Here is a 17,366-nt window from a genome sequence, read left to right as displayed (position 1 = left end):
TCTCTAGCCGCGCCCTTCTTATTGGGTCCCAGGCCTCGCCTCCGCCTCCAGGAGCCCCGGCTTCTTCCGAGGCCGCCCAAGTGCACCGGTTCCTGGGCTGCTCTTAGAGTGTCCCTTCTGTCAGGAGCAGCCCTTTTCCCAGCGCACCCGGTAGGAGGAACCGGGCTCTGGGCACCAGGAATCCGCTGGTGCCCAGCGGGAGTCTTAACCATGGACTCAGGAAGGCGTGGGCAAGCCCAGTATCTCTCCCAGAGGAAAGAACTAATACTTGCAGAATGAATACTTCATAGGTCCCTCACGCGCTTCTGATCCCTGGCCACTACGTTTCCTCCCTCTGGACCAGGTTTTCAGATTATTCTGTCACTTGCCTGAGACTGCTGAGTACAGAGCAGAATAAGCGCCCGCCTTTTTTCTTTCTTTTTCTTTTTTTTTTCTGTTATAGGGTCTGTGTAGTGAGATTTGCATAGTAAAAAAAAAAAATGGATAGAAAAAAAGTTATGGGGCCTGGCTATGTTGCCCAGGTTGGCTTCGAACTCCAGGGCTCAAAAAAATCCTCCCTCTTTAGCCTCCCCAGTAGTGGGACTATAGCACGCTTTTAATTAATGCAGCCATGAACACACCTAACCACAGATAGTTCTCGTGGTTTGGACACAAGATGAGATTCCTTGAAAATTTTTGACATCTCTATTCTCTTTTTTATTTTTAATTTTTAAAATTTGCTGCAGGGTCTCTCTGTGTCACCCAGGCTAGGGGGCGGTGGTGTGATTATAGCTCACTGCAGCCTCCATCTCCTGGGCTCAAGAGATCCTCCCTCCTCAGCTCCCCCAGTAGCTGGGACTACAAGCTCCCGACACCATGCCCAGTGATGCCTCTGTTCTCTAAATAACACAATTATATTTGTCTCTTTCTTCCTTCCTTTCTTTTTTCCTTTCCCTTTTCCTTTCCTTTCTTTTCCCCTTCCCTTTCTGACAAGGGTTCGTTATGTTGCCCAAGCTGGTCTCAAGCAATCCTTCTGGCCTGGGCAAAATGATAAAACCCTATCCCTACAAAAAATACAAAAATTAGCTGGACTAGGTGGCACGCACCTGTAGTCCCAGCTACTCGGAAGGCTGAGGTGGGACAATCCCTTGATCCCAGAGAGGCTGAGTCTACAGTAAGCAGTGATGGTGCCTCTGCACTCCCCCCTGGGTGACAGAGTGAGACCCTGTCTCAAAAATAATAATAATAATAACTGTTTTAGATGTGTTGCTATAAGACAAATTATAATTTATAATTTATTTTTATTCAGTATTGAAACACTGAAGAGAACTTCAGGTTTGCCACATTAATAGGCCGAATGTATATATTCAGACCATGCCCAACCGGCTGAATATATTTCATATGTAGGAATGATTTAGTAGTTGGGAAATTCTTACTTGCTAATTGAGATGATTAAAGTACTTTGCAAAACAACAAGAAAAAAAAAAACCATTAAAAATGGGGCAAAGCCGGGCACAGTGGCTCACGCCAGGAGTTCTAGACCAGCCTGGCCAACATGGCGAAATCCTGTCTCTATTAAAAATACAAAAATTAGCCGGGCATGGTGACGGGCACCTGTAATCCCAGCTACTCAGGAAGCTGAGGCATGAGAATCGCTTGAACTCCTGAGGCGGAGGTTGCAATGAGCCGATATCAGGCTACTGAACTGCAGCCTGCTGGATAGAGCGAGACTGTCTCCACAAAACAAACAAACAAAACTGGGCAAGGAGCATGAAGAGATATTTCTCAAAAGAAGAAATACAGGCAGCCTACAAACACATGAAAAAATGCTCCGCATCACTAATCAGAAGAGGAATGCAAATTAAAATCACACCGATATACCATCATACACCAGTCACAATGACTTTTATTAAAAACTCAAAAAACAGGGCGGGCATGGTGGCTCATGCCTGTAATCCCAGCACTTTGGGAGGCTGAGACGGGTGGATCACAAGGTCAGGAGTTAAAGACCAGCCTGGCCAACATGGTGAAACCCCATCTGTACTAAAAATACAAAAATTAGCCGGGCGCAGTGGCAGGTGCCTGTAATCCCAGCTACTTGGGAGACTGAGGCGGGAGAATTGCTTGAACTTAGAGGGTGGAGGTTGCAGTGAGCTGAGATTGAGCCACTGCTCGCCAGCCTGGGTGACAGAGTGAGACTCCGTCTCAAAAAAAAAAAAAAAAGTCAAAAAACAGGCCGGGCGTGGTGGCTTACACATGTAATCCCAGCAATTTGGGAGGCCAAGGCGGGCGTATCACCTGAGGTTAGGAGTTCAAGACCAGCCTGGCCAACATGGTGAAACCCCATCTCTACTAAAAATACAAAAATTAGCGAGATGTGGTGGCAGGGGCCTGTAATCCCAGCTACTCGGGAGACTGAGGCAGGAGAATTGCTTGAACCCGGGAGGCAGAGGTTGCAGTGAGCCAAGATCGTGCCATTGCACTCCAGCCTGGAGGACAGAGCAAGACTCTGTCTCGGAAAAAAAAAAAAAAGAAATAAAAAATGTCAAAAAACGACGTAGAAGTCCGGGCACAGTGGCTCACACCTATAATCCCAGCACTTTGGGAGGCCGAGGTAGGCGGATCACGAGGTCAGGAGTTTGAGAGCAGCCTGACTAACATGGCGAAATCCCTTTCTACTAACAACACAAAAATTAGCTGGCCGTGGTGGCTGGCGCCTGTAATCCCAGGTACTCGACAGGCTGAGGCAGGAGAATCGCTTGAACCTGGGAGGCGGAGGTTGCGATGTGCCCAGACTGCGCCATTGCACTCCATCCTGGGCGACGGTGCGAGACTCCCTCTCAACAAAAAAAGAAAAAGAAAAAGAAAAAAGAAAACACACACACACAAACAAAAAAAAAAAAAACAAAAAACGACGGGGCACGGTGGCTCAAGCCTGTAATCCTAGTACTTTGGGAGGCTAGGATTTATATATCTACCACTATCTTTCACCCTCTTCCAACCCAGGTAAGCTGGGACTTAACTATGTGCATCAGACCTAGATCATCTTAAAACAGAGATATGATTTTGTTAGATCAATATTCAGTGTTCGCACTATTACGACTTTGTAAACTATTCATAGTTGTATATACTATGATTTCTTTTCTTGACAAAGTTTTGTTTTTCTAGATATTGATAATGGATTTATTTATTTATTTATTTTTGATGAGACAGCATCTCACTCCGTCACCCAGGCTAGCGTGCAGTGACCCATCATAGTTCACAGCAGCCTCCAACTTCTGGGTTCAAGTGATCTTCCCACCTCAGCTTCCTAAGTAGCTAAGATCACGGGCATGTGCCATCACAACTAATTTGTTTTAATTTTTTTTTTTAGGACAGGCTGGTCTTTTTTTGTTTTTGTTTTTGTCTTTTTTTTTTTGAGATGGAGTCTCGCTGTGTCAACAGGCCGGAGTGCAGTGGTGCAATATCGGCTCACTGCAACCTCCACCTCCTGGGTTCAAGCGATTCTCATGCCTCAGCCTCCCGAGTAGCTGGGATTACAGGCATCCGCCACCAAGCCCAGCTAATTTTTGTATTTTTAATAGAGATGGGGTTTCATCATGTCTCAGTGCCTGCAACATGGCCACTATATGCCCAGGATGGTCTCGAACTCCTGGGCTCAAGCGATTCTCCCACCTTAGCCTCCCAAAGTGTTGGGATTACAGGCATGAGCCACGGAACCCAGCCTTATTTCTTTAATATGTATTTTTTCCCAATCTTCGTGAATATTTACCTTGTATGGTATCTTTTACTTGTGCTAGTAATGCTATTGAAATCAGTATCCTTCTACATGTCATTTCTTACAAGGGGGAGTATAACTATAGGATGAAATTTCAAATGTAGAATTGCTGAGTCAAAGGATCTGTAAATTTCCAATTGATAAGGTATTGCCAAATGGCATCCCTCCGAGGTCGAACCAACCTATATACTCACCAGCCTTGTTGCTAACATTATAATATGATAAACATTGACATTAATTTTGGATAAAAGCAATGCATATGCTTTTAAAAGCAATGCATATGCTTTTAAGTGTTCCACCTTTCTAAAAAGTCATTATTTGGAAATGCAAGTACCGATGGGTGGCAAGCAGAGCCCATGCAATGGCCAGATGTCCTCTAAGACACTTGCTGCAACCCAGACCTACAGCAGAAGTGATCTTTAACATTTGGTTATAAAAATTTTCTCCAGGGCTGGGCGTGGTGGCTCACACCTGCAATCCCAGCACTTTGGGAGGCTGAGGCTGGACGATTGCTTGAGGCTAGGAGTTCTAGACCAGCCTGGGCAATATAGGGAGAGCCTATCTCCATAAAAACTAAAAAATTAGTCATGCATGGTGGCGCATGCCTGTGGTCTCAGCTACTTGGAAGACTGAGGTGGAAGAATCGCTTGAACCAGGGAGGCCAAAGCTGCAGTGAGCCGAGATCACCACACTGTACTCAACCTGGATAACAAAGTGAGACATTGTCTCAAAAACAAACAAATAAATAAATAAATAAATAAATAAATAAATAAAACTTTTTCTTCAAATAATTTGTTGAAATAACTCAAGTCTTCAAGGTTTAACTTTCCAAATGTTGGCTCATAGCTGCACTGAAATTCCGGCCTTCAGTATCCTAGCAAAAATCCCCCTTTCCAAGATGTTGAGGTGTATTGGAGAAACCACCATTTTGAACAACAGAAACCGAGCTCAGATCGAAGTAGACTGAGGGCAAGGCAGGCATCCCTAGGGACCAGGTAGAACCCAACTGGAGAGGAAGATGACACATTCAACATGCTGTGGAGGAGGGAGAGTGGATTTTATCCAGGATCACATGGGATAAATGCAAGGACAGGCTCAAGTTTCCCACATGCAGCATTTCTCAATCCCATTTTCCTTGGCAAGAGTTCTTTCCTTGGCAAGGTCGGGAGTTCGAGAGCAGCCTGACCAACATGGAGAAACCCCATCTCTATTAAAAATATAAAATTTGCTGGGTGTGTGGTACATGCCTGTAATCCCAGCTACTCAGGCAGGAGAATCACTTGAACCCGGGAGGCAGAGGTTGCAGTGAGCTGAGATCGTGCCATTGCACTCCAGCCTGGGCAACAAGAGCGAAACTCTGTCTAAAAAATATAATAAAATAAAAAAAAATTAGCTAGGCATGATGAATTATGTACATATAAAAGAGTTTTGGATTAGATACTTAGAAAGTTGTAGGAAACCATCTAGAGCAACACTGTCCAACTGAAATAGAATGAGAGACAAATAATACTAACTTTCTCATAGCCTCGGTAGAAAAAAACATGTGAAATGAATTTGAATATTATATCTTAGGAAACCATCTAGAGCAACATTGTCCAACTGAAATAGAATGAGAGACAAATAATACTAACTTTCTCATAGCCTCGGTAGAAAAAAACATGTGAAATGAATTTGAATATTATATCTTATTTACTTTAATATATCCAAAATATTATCATTTTGGCTGGGCACAGTGGCTTGTGCCTGTAATCCCAGCACTTTGGGAAGCTGAGGTGGGCGGATCCCTTGAGTGCAGGAGTTTGAGCAGGAGTTTGAGACCAGCCTGGGCAACATAACGAGACCCTGTTTTTTTTTTTTTTTGAGACAGGATCTCACTCTGTCACCCAGGCTAGAGTGCAATAGCGCAATCTTGTCTCACTGCAACCTCCACCTCCTGGGCTCAAGCAGTTCCTTGTGGCTCAGTCTCCCCATTAGCTAGGACTACAAGCATGCACCCCCACAACTGGCTAATTTTTGTCTTTTTTGTAGATACGGGGTTTCATCATGTTGCCCAGGCTAGTCTTGAACCCCTGAGGTCAGATGATCCGTCAGCCTTGGCCTCTCAAAGTGCTGGGATTACAGGCATGAGCCACCCCGTCCAGCCAACAAGACCCTGTCTTAACTGAAAAAAAATTTAAGAAAAGGAAAAACCAAAATATTATAATTTTAACATATAATCAGTCTAAAATTATTAATGAGAATATTTAAATTTTTGGTATTAATGTCATCAAAATTTTACATGTAGCTTACACTTACAGCATATCTCAAATCAGACTAGACACATTTCCAGTCCTCATGTGACTAGTGACTTTTGTATTGGACAGTGCAGGTCCGGAGTGACTTTTCTTGAAATGCAAAGGAAGGTACCATGGAATAACATGTTTAGGAATAAGTAAGGTATACAGAAATAGAAGTGAGGGTTGCTTTTCATAAGAGTCTGGGTCACAGGAAAAAGGGAGCTTGGGCTGCAGGTGGAATGGGAGATGGGAAATTGAAAGTTTATTATGACTGGGTGTAGTGACTCACACCTGTAATCCCAGCACTTTGGGAGGCTGAGGCAGGCAGATCAGGAGGTCAGGAGTTCGAGACCAGCCTGGCCAACATGGTGCAACTCCATCTCTACTAAAAATACAAAAATTAGCCAATGTGGTGGGGGGTGCCTGTAATCCCAGCTACTCAGGAAGCTGAAGCAGGAGAATTGTTTGAACCCGGGAGGCAGAGGTTGCAGTGAGCTAAGATTGTGCCCTGTACTCCAGCCTGGGTGACAGAGCAAGACTCCATATATATATATTTGATTATTTGGCCAGGTGTGGTGGCTCATGCCTGTAATCCCAGCAGTTTGGGGGGCCGAGGTGGGCAGATCACTTGAGGTCAGGAGTTCGAGTTCGAGACCAGCCTGGTCAACATGATGAAACCCTGTCTCTACTAAAAATACAAAAATTAGCCGGGCATGGTAGCTGGCACCTGTAATCCCAGCTACTGGGGAGGCTGAAGCAGAACCGCTTGAACCCGGGAGGTGGAGGTTGCAGTGAGCAGAGATCGCGCCACTGCACTCCAGCCTGAGCAATAGAGTGAGACTCTGTCTCAAAAAATTTAAATTTAATTTAAAAAATAATAAAAATAAAAACAAAGAAACCCAATTCACTCTACATACTTTAGCATGTTTCTCCTGAGAATAATGACCTTATCTTACATAACTGTAGTACACTTATCCCACTCTAGAAGTTCTAAACTTTAGAAGTTTCTAATACTACTTTGAAATATAGGGCATATTAAAATTTCCTTCATTGTCCTGAAATGCATCCCCCATCTTTGATTCAGAATTATTTGAACTATGCACACAGCATTTAGTGTCTTAGTCAATTAATAAAACAGTCCTCTTTTTGTTTTTCAGATATTGAACCAGAAATCCATTTGTCCCATTATTGGTGATGCTAACTTGGGTCAAGGTGGCTTCTTCCAAGTCTCTACTGTAAAGGAATGTTTTTTTCTCCTTTGCAATTCATAATCTGTGCCTAGGGCTTCCAAACTTGTGACTATCTAGTTCCTCAACAGTCTTCATCTGATAGTTTTAGCTATTGATGATCATTTTCTAAATTAACTACACTGGTGGTTGCAAAAGAACCCATTGTGTGTGTGTGTGCGTGCGTGTGTGTGTGTGTGCGTGCGTGTGTGTGTGAAGAGGTCTGCCTTAAGAAACCCTCAATAATGGACAGCTGAGGGGACATTAGATGTTACCAGGACTGGAAATGCCAGCTTAATCACCATCTGTAAAGCCATAAAACAGTGAAATCACACTCTCATCGAGTGACTCCAGTGCATCGCTCCAAACACTATGTTTAAAAAACGAATAAACCAAATTTATTTACAGAGGAGCCAGAAGCCTGGACCGGTTTTGGCTGGAGTGCGCAGGCAGGGCACAGGTGAGCTTTATAATCCGGGTAGGTTCAAAGACTCTAGAGCCAGGGGCTTCGAAGAACGCTAATCCCTTTAGGTAAGATAATCAGTTTCCGAATTTCGGTTTTCTCTTTTGTTCAATGGCAAGAGTTCCTCCAGAGTTCCCGGGACGTTGTCCGGGTCGCCAGCAAAGTGGAGCCGCGGGTCCTGCTCCTTAAGGCCGAGGGGATACGGACCCTTCTTTGGAACGTGTGAGGCAGGAACTCGATTCGGCAGCTACTGGGTGGTCCTCGCACCCTCAAGCCTGGACGCCCGCTTTCCGAGGTTCAGGTCCCACCGGTTGTTCCCTAGAGGAAGAGGCAAGAGCACCTTGCCCCCAGCCATTCCCAAGCCCATGGGATTCTGGTGCGAAAGACACAGGTCAATGCAGGTGGAAACCCTAGTTAACTTGGAGACAGCTGGGCCCGGGTGAGGCTCTCCCGAAGTCGCGGGAAGCGGAAGAGTTGGCAACCTGCTGGACCGCAGCCAGGGCGGCGGGGCATGGACTCAGGGTCCTGGCCCGGGCCGGGGGCGGGGCCTGGCCGGGGGCGGGGCCACCAGGTGCGAGGCTTTATCGCCCCTGAGCCTCGGCCGGCGTGATTAGGCCTGGTTTGCGCTGGAGAGTGGTCTTGGTTGTGAGGGTCATAAGATGGGAACTCTCCCGGCACGTAGACATATCCCGCCGTGGGTGAAAGTTCCCGAAGACCTGAAAGATCCAGAGGTGTTCCAGGTCCAGACGCGGCTGCTGAAAGCCATTTTCGGTGAGTGTGCCCAGTACTGGCGGGCTGCCCCGGCTCGGGAGTCTCAGCCGGCCCGGGGATCTCATCTCTTTTCCCCAACAGGCCCGGACGGATCTCGAATCCCTTACATCGAGCAGGTGAGCAAGGCCATGCTCGAGCTGAAGGCTCTGGAGTCTTCAGACCTCACCGAGGTCGTGGTTTACGGCTCCTATTTGTACAAGCTCCGGACCAAGTGGATGCTCCAGTCCATGGCTGAGTGGCACCGCCAGCGCCAGGAGCGAGGTGAGAGGCCCAGAGACTGGGTACGCGGAACACAGGCTCGCGGGGGCCGCTTCGCGCCTCTCCTCCAGCCCTCTCCTCTTTCTCCTCTCTTGCTCGCTGCCAGCACCTTGGGCGTCACCAGGGGTGCCCTTGGCATCTGGGCCTTCCCAAGACCCCTTTGGGAATGGGGGCCCCAGAATGCCGGCCGTCGGTCTTGGAGACCCAGGGGTGAGACTATGGTGAAAGGCGGCTGGTGCTGGACCCACTGGGCAGGGTTATCTGAGCTATCTCAACCGTCTCCCCGCCCCCTTCAGTTTCTTGGAGAATGTTCGAATGGGCCGAGTAGTCTCGGGTTCCAAGGTTCTGGGCCTGACTCTCAGGCCCAGAACGCCTGGATCAGAAGTCCCAGAAACGAACCCTGAAAGAGGCGGAGAACAGTCCGGGCGCTTACTATTTTCCCCCAGACTCACGCCGCTGTTGCTATTTCTGGTGCAGGGATGCTCAAACTTGCCGAAGCCATGAATGCCCTCGAACTAGGCCCTTGGATGAAGTGAACCAGTTTCCAGCCAATGCAATGAAGCCGGGTTGCAGAGATTAGGTTGTGGCCAGAGCTAGAGTGATTCCTTAAGCTTGTTTTAAAATCTGCTCCAGCCTAAAGAGTTAAGGGAAAACCATTTGTTCCCTTAAAGAGTTAAGGGAAAACCCTTGGCTCTGAGTCTTGTTGTGAATATTTCTTTGATGATTGTTAATAAAAAGTGTTTTTTCTTTTTTCCCATTTTTAAAAATAACAATAAAGTTTTAAATAAGTTGATAGTTCAGTGTGGTTGATGGATTGTAGGTACTACCTTAAATATCTCTGAAGCACAGCTGAAGTGTGGCCCTGAGCTTAACCCTTAATTGAAATCCTCCAAAGACAAAATGAGGGTCCAAAGGCACACTTGGCTAGTGTCAAAAAGGGTGGAGGAGCCAGGGTCCTGAGATGCAGCACTGAACTAAAAACCTATGGGAGATGTGATGATTGTCTCAAGTGACCTGGACTCACTTGAAAACAACCCTATAATAGGTTGACATTTTGTATATAAGCTGAAAAGCAAATGTGTCCAACAAAAATATGGGAAGTCAGAACCATTGTTAGTGTAGCATGTTTTGTGTGTGTTTTTTGTTTGTTTTCTTTTCTTTTCTTTTTTTTTTTGGAGACGAGTTTTTCTCTTGTCACCCAGGCTGGAGTGCAATGGAGCGATCTTGGCTCACTGCAACCTCCTCGACCCCCCTCCCCCGCCCCCACCCCTTTCAAGCAATTCTCCTGCCTCAGCCTCCCGAGTAGCTGGGATTATGGGTGAGTAGCTGGGATTATGGGTGAGTAGCTGGGATTACAGGTGTGAGCCACCGTGACTGGCCAAAATCTCAGATTTTCAAAGGGTTTTGCTCTCTTCTCCCAGGTGGTCCATACTCAGGGGAGATCCTCTCCTCTACAGTCTGCTTAACCTGCTTTATTTTTTCTTTATGGCATTTATAAACTCGACCGATAGTGTTAACTGGTCATTTTCCTCCTCTCTACTCCTAAGATTTAAACCCCAACAAGGCAGGGACATTGATTTTTTTGTTGTTCTTAAGAGGGGCAATATGGTATAGTACATAGTGGTTAAGGATAGTGTTGTAAGAAACGGACAGCAGCTAGAATACCTGGGTTTGAATCTTAACTCAGCTACTTATTAGCTGGGGAACCAGGCATATGTTAGCCTTTGTGCTTCAGTTCTCCACCTGTAATATGGGGATAATTATATCTACCTCATTGGGTTGCAGTGAGGATTAAATGAGATAAGACTATGTCCTAAATCTGCGAAGTATTAAAACAATGTCTGACACAATGGGCATTATTTCTTGAATGTATGAATAATAGGCTACTCTTCCTCTACTGCAGGACTGGAGTAGACTCCTGTATTACAGGTTCTGAGGGAGGAGGGACTCCAGCTTCCAGTCCTATCCTCTAAGGTTCTCATCATTGAAGACTCAGAGGGAGGGCCATGAAAGTCTTGTAAATGCATTGTTTTTCTACCCCCTGGAAGTCCTGGGTGCAGTTTCTGGGACCATTAGATGCCATACCACTTGTGGGTCCCTGAGAAGACAAAGGCACATTTGGCATGCTATTGAGCTTTATTTGGAGTGGAGACCAAGGGATCAGTCACGTACCCTATTGGCATTTTTACCCTCCCCCGTCCCAGCCCTGAGACCTGTGGCTGGAAGGTCCTAGACCACTCAGCCTGGCTCCTGCTCAAGATTTTGAAGGAAGGCCAGGCGTGGTGGCTCACGGCTGTATTCCCAGCACTTTGGGAGGCCAAGGTGGGTGGATGACGAGGTGAGGAGTTCGAGACAACCTGGCCAACATGATGAAACCCCCGTCTCTACTAAAAATACAAAAATTAGCTAGGCGTTGTGGCGGGTGCTTGTAGTCCCAGCTATGTGGAAGTCTGAGGCAGGAGAATCGCTTGAACCTGGGAGGCTGAGGAAGACCGTGCCACTACACTCCAGCCTGGGTGACAGAGAAACTCTGTCTCAAAAAAAAAAAAAAAAAAAAAAAAAGAATTATCTGGGCACAGTGGCACATGCTTGTAGGCCTAACTACTCAAGAGGCTGAGGCAGGAGGTTCGCTTGAGTTCAGGAACTTGGGGTTACAGTGAGCTATGATCGTACCAGTGTACTCCACCCTGGGCGAAAGGAAACTGTCTCAAAAAAAAAAAAATCTAAAATGATAGAAGTCTCCCTCCTATCTCATTTCATATCATACATTTCCTACTTCCCAAAAATAAGCAATATTTTCTTGAATGTCCATTCAAGAGTTTTTAAAAAATATAAGGAATTATACGTGTAGATTATTTTCCCTCCTTTACAGCTGGGTATTATTCAATTTAATTCTCTACAAAATGACTTTTGAGTTTATTCCCAATCTTTTGCTTTTACAAAGATGAGATGAATACTTTGAATAACTTTTTTTTTTTTTTTTGAGACAGTTTTGCTTTTGTCACAGGCTGCAGTGTAATGGCGTGATCTTGGCTCACTGCAACCTCTGCCTCCTGGATTCAAGCGATTCTCCTCCCTCAGCCATCTGAGTAGGTGGGATCACAGGTGTGGGCCACTACGCCCTGCTAATTTTGTATTTTTAGTAGAGATGGAGTTTCACCATATTGGCCAGACTGGTCTCCAACTCCTGACCTCGGGTGATCCACCCGCCTTGGCCTCCCAAAGTGCTGGAATTAACGGTGTGAGCCACTGTGCCCAAAACAATACCACTGTTTTGCAAGTCTGCCAGTAGTATGTCTGTAGGTTAAATTCCCAGAGGGAGAATTGCTGGTCCAAAGGGGAAAAACATAATTTTGCTAAATATTATCATAGAGATTGCCTATTTCCCCATTGCCTCACCCTTTTTTGTTGAATCTGATGAAGTTTCCCTGTCTTTTGTGCTGATAGCTTGAATTTGCTTTATGGACTAACAGTTGGTTGTTAGCACCCTCAGATGACCCTCATCTAGTGCACCCTTCAGAGAATCAGTTGGCCATGAAAGACTCTATGTGGGAATGTAGACCAGATACTTTTGAAACCCCAATTCTGCAGTGTAAATCAAGCACATAAAACTAACAGCCTTGTCCTTTAAGTCTAGAATTCTTTCTCTCTCTCTCTTTTTTTTTTTTGGAAACAGAGTCTCTGTCACTCAGCTGGAATGCAGTGGCATGATCTCGGCTCACTGCAGCCTCTGCCTCCCAGGTTCAAGTGATTCTCTTGCCTCAGCCTCCCCAGTAGCTGGGATCACAGGCATGCACCACCATGTCCAGCTTTTTTTTTTTTTTTTTTTTCTTCAGTATTTGTAGTAGACATGGGTTTTCACCATGTTGGCCAGGCTGGTATTGAACTCAATATCTTAAGCGATCCACCTGCTTTGGCTTCCCAAAGCTCTGAGCGTACAGGTATGAGACACCGTGCCTGGCCTAGAGTTCCCTCTTAAAGGCAGAGTTTCTAAATGCAGAAAACTTTGAGTAGGTATCAATTATGGTAGCAAAAGAGGGAAATTTAAGAATCTGCCATAAATTCCATGCAAGTCCTGGACTGAAAATTTTTCAGCTCCCCTTTCCCAATCCCCCAAACCAAAAATAACAGCAATAAAATACTTTAAGAAAATTCATAGGTAAAATTTTGGAAGTAAAAGTCTGAAGGTGGTTTGCCTTGGAGCGGATTTCTTTCTTTGAGTTTGCAGCTGGTGATCAGCTTTCCACCAAGGTTAAGTGCGACAATTACAGGAAACCTCAAGCTTTCTTGTAATGCAGATGAGAGGGGTCTGCCCTAAGGAGGGTCTGACAATGGGATGGAAGAGTTTTGGAGAGGAGATAAAACAAGTGCTTAGTCCAAGAAAGCCTTTAAATAACAAGCGATAAACACCCAATCAAGTGTAATCCTCCAACCCTAAAGTGGCTAATAATAATAACAATAGCTAACGCTGATTGAGAGCTTCTAGCTCCGCGGGGCTAGAAGCTGGGCTCTTTTATTAACTGAATTCTCAAAATATTCTCATTGTCCATTTAAGGAAATTGAGATCCCACCAATCACACCACCTCCCGGTATTTATGTCTTACATTTAAATGTATACGTGATTTCTTTGGGGGCCCTATGAAATGTTTTTATTTTTAATTTATTTTTTGCGACGGAGTCTCACTCTGTTGCCAGGCTGTAGTGCAGTGGCACGATCTCGGCTCACTGCAACCTCCAACACCCGGGTTCAAGCGATTCTCTTGCGCAGCCTCCCAGGTAGCTGGGATTACAGGCGCGCGCCGGCGTGCCCGGCTAATTTTTGTATTTTGAGTAGAGACCGGGTTTTGCCATGTTGGCTAGGATGGTCTCCAACTCCTAACCTCAGGTGATCCGCCCGCCTCGGCCTCCCAGAATGCTGGGACTACAGGCGTGAGCCACCGCGCCCTTCCGGGCCCTATGAGACTTTTTACCCTTTGGGTGGGCTGATAGAGCGGGAGAGGGGAAGCCAGAGTGGGTGTGGGTGTTCCTCGCAGGGCCCCGCGGGGTCACCTATGCCCAACTCATTCCCAAGTGGGCTCCGAGGCAGGCGCTGTTAGGTCTCCTGGGACTGAAGCCACCTGCAGGGTGGTCTGGAGCAAGTCTCCCAACCTCTGTAGACAGGCGGGCCCTCCGGGAGCTTCCGGTCTGGTTAGGAGCCACATGGATGTAAGAATCCGAGAAATGAACACCGGTGCTGTGCTGGGAGGCTGAAATGTTGGAGACTAGACCTGGGCAGGGAGGTCAGGGACGGTCCCCCAAGGAAGTCACCTTGGGTGAGATCTGAGTGACCGGCAGCAGTGAGCCAGGCGAGGAGGAAGGGAAGTGCAGCCCTGGGAACAGGATGGTGGCTAGGCCAGAAGGTTGAGCCGGCTGGGGCATGGCCGGAACGGGAGCGAGGCAGTTCCCCCCGGGGCCTCGCAGACCTTGCAGAGAGCAAAGGTAACCCATCCAAAGGTTTTGAGCAGGAGGTGACTATGGAACCACCCGGAACCACTCAGATAAGCTGTTTCCCTGTCCCTGGCAGCTAGGATCCTAGGATCAGTTTGGATTCTGATTCTTCTCTAATGGCTCTGCCCTGTCTCTCCACTGTTCCCATCGACTCATTTGTTGAATGGCATTATTGAAATATTTGTTGAAGGTCGGGCGCGGTGGCTCACGTCTGTAATTCCAGCACTTTGGGAGGCTGAGGTGGGCGGATCACGAGGTCAGGAGTTCGAGACCAGCCTAACCAACATAGTGAAACCCCGTCTCTACTAAAAATAGAAAAAAGCTGGGTGTGGTGGAGGGCGCCTGTAATCCCAGCTACTCGGGAGGCTGAGGCAGGAGAATTGCTTGAACCTAGGAGGCAGAGGTTGTGGTAAGCCAAGATTGCGCCACTGTGCTCTAGCATGGGCGACACAGCTAGACTCCTCAAAAAAAAAAAAAAAAAAAAAAAGAAAAAATTTAAATATATATTTGTTGAGTGTCTGCTTTGCTACATACTCAGGAGTGGTGTTTTAGGAAGAAAACAAAAATGACAATGTGGCCCACGAACATTTTCAGGATTTCAGAGACTATTTTCAGAAAACAAGTGTCTGGGGTGTTACTTACATGAAAGAAATTTGGAATATTAAATTGTATGGTAACTAATCAGAGGCAGAAATATTTTTTTCGAGGAGTTATCTGTATGGCACTAGAATTCCAGCGTTGGAATTTGTCCAGAGAGGGGCTGCTGCACCAAGTCTTGTAGCCATTTTGCAATCTCTGCTGCAGAAAGGGAAGGACCAGGTTTTCCAAACTTCACTCCAATTCTCAAAAGCTGGTCTTAGTTTCATGGGATTCCTCTTTTCCTTCTAGCTTCAACAGTCTAAATATTGTTGCATTGGGGATAGATAAGATTTACCCTCATGAAAATGCCAAATTAGCTGACCCTGGGATCACTGCCCATGAGTTAGCCCTGTTCTGCAAGGAGCAGTACTGTAAAACAAAACAAAAGAGCCAAATTAACTACGATCAAACCTTTGTATCCGCTGTTCTGCAACCACGGATTCAACCAACCTCCCATCAAAAATATTCAGAAAGAAAACAATAACAATGCAACAGTAAAGATACAAATAAACCCCAATACAATGTAACTATTTACATAGCATTTGTATTGTTAGTAATCTAGAGATTATTAAAAAGTATAGGGGAGGATGTTTATAGGTTATATGTAAACATGTCATTTTACATTAAGAACTTGAACATCTGTGGATTTTGGTATGGGAGAGGGGGTGCTGAAACAAATCTCTCAGATAGGGAGAGATGACTGTAATATTTCATTGTACCACTATAAAAGGAGAAGAAAATGTGCAACATAGGGCTCCTAGCCTAAACTTCTTTCACAGGCATGGGAATTTAATGGGGACAAGTAGGGCAAAAGAAACAGGAGTATTAGGGCAAAAGAAAATAGGGCTTGGGGTCTGTGGGAGGGAAAAGAACTAAAAAGAGGAACAGATAGACAATTTATCTCTTTTTGAAGCTTTAGTAAATTTTGATGAGAAGAGTCCCAGACCCATCTGTCTTTTAAAGAATACAGATAATCAAGTGCTGGGGTCAGGGGCTATCCCATGTTCAGGATGGTGATTTTGTGGGTGGGGTAGGCTGGCAGAGCCTACTGACATCTGGGTGATGAGAAGATGTTGGTTGGTTAGGATGGCACTTCTCACTCAAGCCCTATAACTTGATTTTCCAAGATTAATGATTACTTAGGATTATTTGATTTACCCCCCTACCCCCAGGTTCCTGTTGTAAACTAAAAATAAAATTGTGGCTCACATCTGTAATCTCAGCACTTTGGGAGGCCAAGGTGGAAGGATTGCTTGAGGCCACGAGTTCTAGACCAGCCTGGGCAGCATAGCAAGACGCGATCTCTACAAAAATTAAGAAATTAGCTGGGTGTGGTGGAACATGCCTGTAGTACCAGCTGCTCAGGAAAGCTGAGATAGGTGGGAGGATTGCTTGAGCCCGGGAGTTGGAAGCTGGCAGTCAGCTCTGATTGTACCACTGCACTCCAGCCTGGGTGATGGAGCAAGAGCCTGTCTCTAAAAAATAAATTAAAAAATAAATTAAAAATGTAAATGTAAGAACTGGTAGAAAAGGCTGGGCGCAGTGGCTCACGCCTGTAATCCCACCACTTTGGGAGGTCGAGGCAGGCAGATCACAAGGTCAGGAGATCGAGACCATCCTGGCTAACACGGTGAAAGCCCTTCTCTACTAAAAATACAAAAAACTAGCCTGGCGTGGTGGCGGGCACCTGTAGTCCCAGCTACTCGGGAGGCTGAGGCAGGAGAATGGCATGAACCCGGGAGGCGGAGCTTGCAGTGAGCTGAGATGGCGCCACTGCACTCCAGCCTGGATGACAATGCAAGACTCTGTCTCAAAAAAAAAAAAAAAAACCTGGTAGAAAAAAATATTTAAATAATAAATTATATAATCAGGCTTCTGTAAACCCAACATCAAAGGCAGAAATCATAAATCAAAATAATACTAGATCAGGGAGCTAAAAAAATTGGAAAGTCCCATTCTTTTTTTATATTTTTAATGTTTTTGAGATGGAGTCTCACTCTGCTGCCCAGGCTGGAGGGCAGTGGCACAATCTCAGCTCACAGCAACCTCCACCTCCCAGTTCAAGCGATTCTCCTGCCTCAGCCTCCTGAGTAGCTGGGATTACAGGTGTGTGTCATCACGCCCAGCTAATTTTTGTATTTTTAGTAGAGGTGGGGTTTCACCATGTTGGCCAGGTTGGTCTCGAACTCCTGACCTCCGGCAATCTGCCTACCTTAGCCTCTCAAAGTGCTGAGATTATAGGTGTAAGCCACCGTGCCTGGCCTCTATTCTTTTAAAAAAGTCAAAATGAGGTGGGGTGAGGGGCAAATCAGCAATATAAGGACGAGCAAGTGGCTAATACATGAGTAGTTAAATAATTCTCACAAATCAGTAAGTAGGCCCAGCGAGGTGGCTCACGTCTGTAATCCCCAGCACTTTGGGAGGCTGAGGCAGGCGGATCACCTGAAGTCAGGAGTTCGAGACCAGCCTGACCAACATGGAGAAACCCC

At 46.0% G+C, this 17,366-nt stretch overlaps 1 protein-coding gene across 1 annotated transcript, besides 6 other annotated features; it reads left to right on the top strand.

The window, feature by feature from the left end:
- Positions 8,278-8,777: an enhancer, noted in NCBI's record as "H3K27ac hESC enhancer chr6:74063553-74064052 (GRCh37/hg19 assembly coordinates)". NCBI's record gives its function as "activates a minimal SCP1, AML or CMV promoter by ChIP-STARR-seq in naive H9 embryonic stem cells {active_cell/tissue: H9 hESC(naive)}" and the evidence as "EXISTENCE:reporter gene assay evidence [ECO:0000049][PMID:30033119]".
- Positions 8,331-9,544, top strand: DPPA5 (developmental pluripotency associated 5). Its single transcript, NM_001025290.3, has 3 exons — positions 8,331-8,493; positions 8,575-8,754; positions 9,229-9,544. Exons 1-3 carry the CDS (start codon positions 8,382-8,384, stop codon positions 9,285-9,287), a joined length of 351 nt encoding a protein of 116 aa, NP_001020461.1. The 5' UTR covers positions 8,331-8,381; the 3' UTR covers positions 9,288-9,544.
- Positions 8,778-9,279: an enhancer, noted in NCBI's record as "H3K27ac hESC enhancer chr6:74063051-74063552 (GRCh37/hg19 assembly coordinates)". NCBI's record gives its function as "activates a minimal SCP1, AML or CMV promoter by ChIP-STARR-seq in naive H9 embryonic stem cells {active_cell/tissue: H9 hESC(naive)}" and the evidence as "EXISTENCE:reporter gene assay evidence [ECO:0000049][PMID:30033119]".
- Positions 12,609-13,112: an enhancer, noted in NCBI's record as "OCT4-NANOG-H3K27ac-H3K4me1 hESC enhancer chr6:74059218-74059721 (GRCh37/hg19 assembly coordinates)". NCBI's record gives its function as "activates a minimal SCP1, AML or CMV promoter by ChIP-STARR-seq in naive and primed H9 embryonic stem cells {active_cell/tissue: H9 hESC(naive and primed)}" and the evidence as "EXISTENCE:reporter gene assay evidence [ECO:0000049][PMID:30033119]".
- Positions 13,113-13,617: an enhancer, noted in NCBI's record as "OCT4-NANOG-H3K27ac-H3K4me1 hESC enhancer chr6:74058713-74059217 (GRCh37/hg19 assembly coordinates)". NCBI's record gives its function as "activates a minimal SCP1, AML or CMV promoter by ChIP-STARR-seq in naive and primed H9 embryonic stem cells {active_cell/tissue: H9 hESC(naive and primed)}" and the evidence as "EXISTENCE:reporter gene assay evidence [ECO:0000049][PMID:30033119]".
- Positions 13,618-14,121: an enhancer, noted in NCBI's record as "H3K27ac-H3K4me1 hESC enhancer chr6:74058209-74058712 (GRCh37/hg19 assembly coordinates)". NCBI's record gives its function as "activates a minimal SCP1, AML or CMV promoter by ChIP-STARR-seq in naive H9 embryonic stem cells {active_cell/tissue: H9 hESC(naive)}" and the evidence as "EXISTENCE:reporter gene assay evidence [ECO:0000049][PMID:30033119]".
- Positions 14,122-14,626: an enhancer, noted in NCBI's record as "H3K27ac-H3K4me1 hESC enhancer chr6:74057704-74058208 (GRCh37/hg19 assembly coordinates)". NCBI's record gives its function as "activates a minimal SCP1, AML or CMV promoter by ChIP-STARR-seq in naive H9 embryonic stem cells {active_cell/tissue: H9 hESC(naive)}" and the evidence as "EXISTENCE:reporter gene assay evidence [ECO:0000049][PMID:30033119]".

This window comes from Homo sapiens, chromosome 6 (assembly GCF_000001405.40).
Source record: "Homo sapiens chromosome 6, GRCh38.p14 Primary Assembly".
NCBI lineage: Eukaryota > Metazoa > Chordata > Mammalia > Primates > Hominidae > Homo > Homo sapiens.
The sequence above is the reverse complement of the archived record's forward strand: the minus strand, read 5'-3'. Positions and strand labels throughout refer to the sequence as shown.